At 43.3% G+C, this 8,103-nt stretch overlaps 1 long non-coding RNA gene across 1 annotated transcript; it reads left to right on the top strand.

Moving 5' to 3' along the window:
* Nucleotides 1-856: 856 nt before the first annotated feature.
* On the top strand, nt 857-3,820 carry LOC124905240 (uncharacterized). Its single transcript, XR_007068385.1, has 2 exons — nt 857-2,180; nt 2,617-3,820. It is a non-coding gene; the product is annotated as an uncharacterized LOC124905240 (long non-coding RNA).
* Nucleotides 3,821-8,103: the final 4,283 nt, after the last annotated feature.

Genomic DNA, 8,103 nt, shown 5'->3' with positions numbered 1-8,103 from the left:
GCAAAACCTAGCTTATCCTAACATATCTCATTGTATATGTTTATTCTTGCATTGCTATAGAGAACTACCTGAGACTAGGTAATTTATGAAGAAAAGAGGTTTAATTGACTCACAGTTCCACAGGCTGTACAGGAAGCATGGCTGTGGAGGCTTCGGGAAACTTTCTATGATGGCAGAAGGTGAAGGGGTAGCAAGCACATCTTACGTGGTGGAAGCAGGAGGAAGAGAGTGTGAAGGGGGAGGTGCTGCACACTTTTAAATAACCAGATCTCATGAAAACTCTATGATGAGACAGCACTAGGAGGATGGTGCTAAACTATTAGAAACCACCCCCATGATTCAGTCACCTCCCACCAGGCCCCACCTCCTACACTGGGGATTAAAATTCAACATGAGATTTAGATGGGGATGCAAATCCAAACCATTTCACTCATGGTCTTGGATTTGCTGCCAACTCCACCAACAATGCCAGTGCCTTCTCCTCCTGTCTCTTGCTCCTGGATATTGCTTAGGCTTATGCTAAAAGTCACACTCTCTAGTCCTGCTCTCTGCCTCCCAGACAGACCAAGGCCACATTGTTTTATTTCCCCATAGCCTTGTGCTCTCTACCTCAGAGGAAGTCATCACTCATAACCATCTGCCTTGCTTAACAATGCCTTTCTAGCCTCTAGAACATCTCCTACACTTAGTAAACCCCTGATACACATGGTTGCTTTATGAGTAGCACATGCTAGACAAATATTGAATGAATGGATGCAGGAAAGAATGAGTGAATTGAAGGTGGTGATTGTGGGATCTAATCATCTGGATCTAAACACATTATGTTCCTGGATTCAAACAAGAAGATCAGAGACTTAACCTTAAGATCAAAGTAATGCTTCAAGGTCAAAACATGTTCAACCTGATGACAGACAAAGCTTTTGAGCAACAGCATTCTGAAGAAGGAAGCCAGGATGATGAGAAATCAAAGTATGCATACTTTCTAACCCCAGGGGAGGAGAGAAGGCGGAGTTTCCATTTTCAATCCTAGAAAGAAAAATCACTAACTATGCACACAGATTTACCATAATCACTATGATTACTACGTTTTCTTTGGTATCGACTTCCAGAAAGGCAGGCAAATGTCACTGGTTTTTTTCACATCTTCATCCATCCCGGTGATACATTTGTGCATACACTTGTGTTATCCTGGTTGACTTGAATGAATACCCATTAGAGATGAAAGGAGCTATTAAGTCACCTCCCCTCTGCTTTGCACACAGGTCAAGCTCAATCCCTCTTCCTCAGCCAAAACACTCATTGGATCTCTCTTTGCTTTTCTGCAGTGACTGGAGTGTAGCTGCCGCCGCCACCACCACCACCACCACCACCACCACCATCTTATCACCGCCAGCAATGAGATCTCAAGACATTCTGTAAACATTTCTTTGGCATGTATCAGTGTCCCTGAGAGCGTTGATAATCTGCTTGAATGTGAGCTCAATGCTGGGACGGCCTCCCCGGACTTGGCAGGCAGCCCTTGAACAAACCTTTTGTGCCTGCATCCCTCTGATGGACAGGCACTGAGGATGCCGGTGACCCAGCTTCTAGAAAGAATCACAGCAGGGAAGGGGCATTGCTAAGTAGTCTTCCAACCTGGGGACACAAGCTAAAAATGAGAGAAAACTCAGATCAACAGTGCTGCTGAGCTTATTACGTTTAAGACGAAAAACAATACCTGATTAAAGCAACAAAACACCTGGATATTTTGCAGTTAGCCCCGTTAATCAGAGAAGGATGAGCCTTGGGGCTGTGGCTCAGGTTCCTAATCCTGTTGCTAGAGTTTTTCACTTTTGTTCTCATTTCTGCGGCTGACATGGGATCCTACAGATTGTTTATCCCAAGGCTGTCTGGGCCTGGGCTCTGTGAACAGTGTCACTCTAAAAATAACAGGCTGTGCCGAGAATAGCAGACTTTCTCCTTTTTCCTGCAGAAGACGACTTCTCAGCTCCTTGGAGGGGTCAGTACGAGGTGAGAGCCATAGAAAGATGGCAACGAAAAAGAAAGAGACATTCTGCAATGGGTTGAATGGGGTCTCCCTGACATTTACATCACCCAGAACCTCAAAATATGACCTTATCTGGAAACAGGGTCTTTTGAGATGTCATGGATTCTGCTGCCATCAGCAGAGAGACAGAAAGGTAAGCTCGAACAGGAGAATCAGGATGATTGAACTGGGTCTAATTTGTTTCCTTTTCATGAAAAAGAAATAAGATGATATCGTGCAGGACCCCAGGGTGAGAGCAGATGATTCACAACACAAACCCAAAAATAAGCTTGCCTTTCACACAACCTTTTTATGCATCGAACCATGCTGCAACGAAAACAAGTTTAATGACTTTATGACTTGCACCTCGAGGTATCCAAATACTTTTACAAAATCTAGATTCTGCCATGCAGTGTCCTTTTTACAAAAGTGCCATCAGCGTTGTTAGGACCTGAGGTTATCACAGCTCTTTTTATAAACATGGCCGAGCCAAGGGGGAAGTGAGATGGGGCAGAAGGGAAATTTTGGAGGACGCAGAGAGATCCATCTTAGTTCCTCTCTATTTTCATCTACTTTCTGTTGGTCCACAGGTCTGCCCTCTGGAAGTCAGCTGAAGCCCAGTGCAAAGTGCAGCTGGTCAAGACATTGTGGTTCTCAATCAGGAACCCTTTGCAATGTCAGCCTCCCCTAGGATGAGTGAGCAAGCTTGGCGGGAATATGGGGGTGTTGATTATGGTCTCTCCTCTGGGACATTCAGAATCAATCTGTCCGTCGCAAGATCGAAATAAAGTGGTGATATAGATGAGTCTGAGAACTTATCTACAACTCACAGCAGCAACTCTCTGTGTAAATGTTAATTGTACAATCAGGGTAAAAAAAATAACTCTAATACCATATGTGCATGTTAGGAAATTATCTAAGTGCATATGGAATCGGGAGCTCAGAGGCTGAAGGAACTGAAAGGATTTTCCATATAAAATTCTTTACTGCATGTTACAGGCTGAATTGTGTTTCCTCAAAATTTATATGTTAAATCCTAAACATTGGGACCTCAGAATGTCACTGTATTTGGAGATAAGGTCTTTAAAGAGGTGATTAAGGTAAAATGAGGTCACTAAGATGGGCACCAATCCAATAGGACTGGGGTCTTTATAAGAAGAGAATATTAGGACACAGACATAAATACAGGGACGACCCTGTGAGGACAAAGGGAGAAGACAGCATCTACAAGCTCAGGAGAGAAGCTTTAGGAGGAGCCAACCCTTCCCATACCTTGAGCTTAGACTTCCAGCCTCCAGGACTGTGGGAGAATAAATGTCTGCTGTTTGTAAACCACCCAGTCTATGGTGTGCTGTTATAGCAGCCTGAAATGGACTAAGCCATCTCATAAGAAGAGGAGACAGATACACACAGAGGGACAACCATTTGAGGACACAGGGAGAAGACAGTGTCTACAAGCTCAGGAGAGAGGCCTCGAGAGGAACCAGCCCTGCCCACACCTTGATCTTGGAATTCCAACCTCCAGGACTGTGGAGAATAAGTGTCTGTTGCTTGTAAGCCATTAAGTCTATGGTATTATGTTACAGAAGCCTGAAATTGACTAAGACATCTCATAAGAAGAAGAGATGAGGACACAGACACACACAGAGGGACGACCACATGAGGACACAGGGAGAAGATGGCATCTACAAGGCTACGAGAGAGGCTTCAGGAGGAACCAGCCGTGCTCACCCCTTGATCTCAGATTTCCAGCCTCCAGAACCGTGAGAAAATAAATCTTTGTTGTTTAAGTCACCTGGTCTGTGGAACTTTCTTATGGAAGTCCTAGAAAACTAATATACTGCATGAAAAGAAACCTTCCTATAACATCATTCATGAGGATAAATTTAGCTTGTATTGTGTTTCTTCATCGTCAATAACTTAGAATAAAATGTGAGAAGAACAGTAATGTAAACATACTGATATTTACCCCAAATGGGAAAATTGTAGCTAGTATTTTCCCTCAAGAAGATCTGTTCCCTTTATTATAGAATTGCTATTCCAACCACTTCAATATTATAATTCCTACTATCTTCCTTAACATCTCTATAAAATAAACCTTAAACATTTTCCATCAACATCTTGCAAATCAATTTGCAGGCCAAAAATTATTTCTAACATCTTCCTGAATTTTTTCATATGATAATTTAAATTTATACTCTCTTTGTTTCCTTTGTGAAAAAACAATTCCTAGTTAGAATGAGAAGAAAGCCCCAATTATGTTGGGATTAAATGCCGGGAACAATTAAATGTTGGGAACATTTTAGTTCAAAAGAAGACCATGTTTCATTTCATTTACCCTTCAAGAAAGGTAAGGTGAATATTATCATATATTTTTCCTCAATTCCTTGCTATTCACCCATCAAGATTTTACACTTTTTGAGAACCATACCTAAGTTTGGGTTCCCCAAATGTAGATTCTGAGAGAAGAATTTTGGTAAAAGTAGTTTATTTGAGAGGTGATCCTTGTAGGTATGGCCAGAAAAAGACTGGGAGGTGAGGAAAGCCAACTGTATCAGTGTGCTATTGCTGTCTAACAAATTAGCACAAATGAAGTGACTTACAACAACACACTTTTATTAATATTACCTCAGAGCTTCCAAATGATGCCAGAGAGGTGAGCCTCAAAGCAGGGCTTAGCCTGCAAGGGTTCTTGGCTTTGCCCAGGAAGGAATTCAAGGGCAAGCTGGAGGTAGAAGAAAATTTACAGAAGCAGCAGTGTTACAGCTCCGTGGCTGCTCCTGCAGAACAGGGCTACCCCCTGGGCAGAGAGTGGCAGCTCAGGGTGATTTCACAGTCACTTTTATACCCATTTTTATTTGCATAAAGATTGAGGGGCGGTTTCTGCTGAAATTTCTAGAGAAAGGGTAGCAACTTTTGGATCATTGGGTCATTGCTGTGGAAATGGTTGGTAACCCCCGGGGGTTGCCATGGCAATGGCAAACTGACCTGGCACACTGGTGGGCATGTCCGATGAAAAGATTCTTCTGTCCGGGACCTGTTTTAGCTAGTCTTCAATTTGGTCCTGCATCCCAGCCCCACCTCTGGAGTTGAGTCCTGCCTCCTCTCTCACAAGGATCAGGTATCCAGGTAAAGGTTAGCAGCATCCTCTGCACAGGTCTCACAAGACTGCAGGGAAGGTATACTCATTTAAATCTCCGTGTTCTCTTTGTTGATTGATTTTTTTTTTTTTTTTTTTTTTTTTTTTGTGACAGGGTGTCACTCTGTCACCCAGGCTGGACTACAGTGGCATGATCATGGCTTACTGCAGCCTCTAACTCCCAGGCTCAATCAATCCCCCCACCTCAGCCTCCTGAGTAGCTGGGACTACAGGCATACATCAGGGTTCTCCTTCAAGCTCAGGTAGCTGTGGCAAAATTCAGTTCCTTTCAGTTGTAGAACTAGAGTTCCCAGTTTTCTGTAAGAGCTATGTTAGAGGGACCACTCTCTACTTCTCGAGTTCTGCCTGCATTTCATTGCCACGTTGTCCCATAAGCAGTTATCATCATGGCTGTTTGCCGACTCTTCCCCCTCTTAAAGTCTCCTCTGATTAGGTCAGACCCACCCAGGATAACTGATGGACTCAAAGTCAACCAATTGGTAACCGGTTCAAGTGAGTGACATTCATCATATTCAAAGTCCTTGTCCACTCTCAAAAGAAAGGGATTATACATGTTGGGAGCCCAGGAGGCTGGAATCTTGGGTTGCATCTTAGATTTCTACCATCTATAACAATACAAGAAGTGTTGACAAAGGGCTACTTCTGTGGACAATGAGATCTTCATCCCACTGGAGATTCCGCGAGGGACTATGGTGGCAGCAATCTCAGAATTGTCCAGCCCAGGGGAAAGGAAGCTGGAGCATTTATCTAGAAAATCCCATCCCTTAGTGAGTGAAGGTAGTTCCTGGGGTGTCCACTTACACCCGTAAGTTTCTAGACCCATGGGCCTACCATGCCCCTCTATGTTATACTGCCTGAGAAGTTCCCAAGCAGAGCCATACAGGGCAGACCTTGTCAAGAACTCACTATACAGATGGGGCCGATTTACCACTGAATTGCAGCAGCTTTATCATTATCCCTGAGGCTACCTGCAAGTGTGATTTCTGACTCTTTGTCAAATTAAGGGCTGTGGGATTTAGGATGTGCTGCTTAAAGTCTGAAGTGCCCCCTGGAGACCATCATGATTAATTTCTCCACTGATGGTTTGCAAAATTGGCCTAATCAGTTAGACAGAGCTGGTTTGATGACATAGCCAGAGGAGCTTTAAACGCTGGCCACAAACTTGTACTTTGCATTTTCCTGAAGAAGTCAGACTTTTTTGTGCATACCTTGATGGTTCAATTCTAAGGCAGAACAGGGTTTATGTGCAAATAATGCCCAAGGACTTTGTGTCTGGTCCTTGGAATATCTTTTGGATTCCTTATGTGTGCCTTCTCTGTCAATCTGTCTGTCCCTATCTCTCTCTCTCCCTCTCTTTCTTGATTCACCATACCTTTGCCTTTAAATGGAATCTCCCTTGATTTTGCTCTGTGGCATCTTGGGGAGTTCTCTCGTATACCCCCAATTGAAAACTCTTTGCAGTCTGCCCACCGGAGCTGTGGCTGACTCCTCCAGCAAACTGAAAGGTTATGATCCAAATGCCAACAGCATCTGCTTCAAAGTCTGACTGCTTTCAGTGACTGCATTGGCTTCTAGAACCCTTCTTGATATTAAATAAGTGTTCGAATATTCATTGAATTCACTGCCTTTCTTCATCTATTGGATTTTAGAAACAAAAATGGGTGATTATTGATTCCCCTCCTGCCATGTTTTCCTGGGTATCATTTGGCCATTCGTTTTGGTTGCTATCACTAGAAATCAGCCTTTTCCCTTGGCCTTTTTGCTCAATGGATTTGACACTCTTGTTTCCGTGGAGCCTCCTCAACCTTTCTGTCCTGCTCACCATGATTATTCCCCAGCTATCAATACACAGCATGCCTCAGACTGGGAAGCCTTGAAGTTGGCTTCAGTCAAATCCACATGAGTGTCTCTTTCTTCTGTTCCCCATACAGAGGTTGTTTTGGCAGTCAGCTGTCATGTGCCCTTAACATCACCAGCTCATCAGAGCACTCTGTTGAGTTGCAATGCCTGCGGATTACCTGAGCTCCGCGACCTTTTGATGTCTTCATACTTTCAAAAAGAAATGACAATGCGTTTGAAAATTCAGCAGAAAAAAGGTTTCCTTCCATCCTGAGATCACACATAAGATGTTACCTCCAGGGAGATGTCCCCGTATGTGGCTTATAAGTGTTACATAGGTAGGAATAATTGTTTCAGGGAAGAACGGGGAATTTGAGCCCAAGTTAAAAAAATTGGTCTTGGAGAGAGTGTCTGAATGGATATAGCTTAGGCCAAACATCTGCCTCTTTTCTTGGGAAAATCTGTCTCTTTGCACTCACCAAGAGGGAGGAGGCATATGGAGCTAACTTCTCAACAAATTTATGCACGTTGGGAGAAAGTATTTCCCCACAAAGAAAATCAGGGGCAGAGAAATGGATCCCTAGACAGTTTTTCCCCAGGAGCTGGAAGCAAAGACAAGAAACAGTGTAAGCGGAGTCAGGCAGGGAGAGAAATAACAATGGATACTGATGTAAATTGATTCAACTCAACTTCACAGCTCAAAGTCTTCACCATCACACCATAGTGCCCTTCATATATTGAAAAATGATTTGGAAAGTTTTCTTTTAAACAATATGTGACAGGAAAGGAGACCCATAATTTATGAACCCAATGCATACAGTACTTAGCATATCAGTTATCTGGGGGAGACACAAGGATAAATAACTCACCCCTCCTGGCTTTAAAAGCTTGCATCTTGTGAAGATAGAAAGAAGCTGAGTTCAAACCACCGGGTTGCACAGTGCCTCCTATGGCAGAGCTACGAATCTGCTAAGTGTTTTGTGGAATGTGAGTGACATTTACTTTGTACAATTGTGGTGAGAATTAAATAGGATCATAGTTTTAAAGGTTATGATATGTACCCCTCGTAATGTCGGGT

This window comes from Homo sapiens, chromosome X (assembly GCF_000001405.40).
Source record: "Homo sapiens chromosome X, GRCh38.p14 Primary Assembly".
NCBI lineage: Eukaryota > Metazoa > Chordata > Mammalia > Primates > Hominidae > Homo > Homo sapiens.
This window is presented reverse-complemented; position numbering and strand designations above follow the sequence as displayed.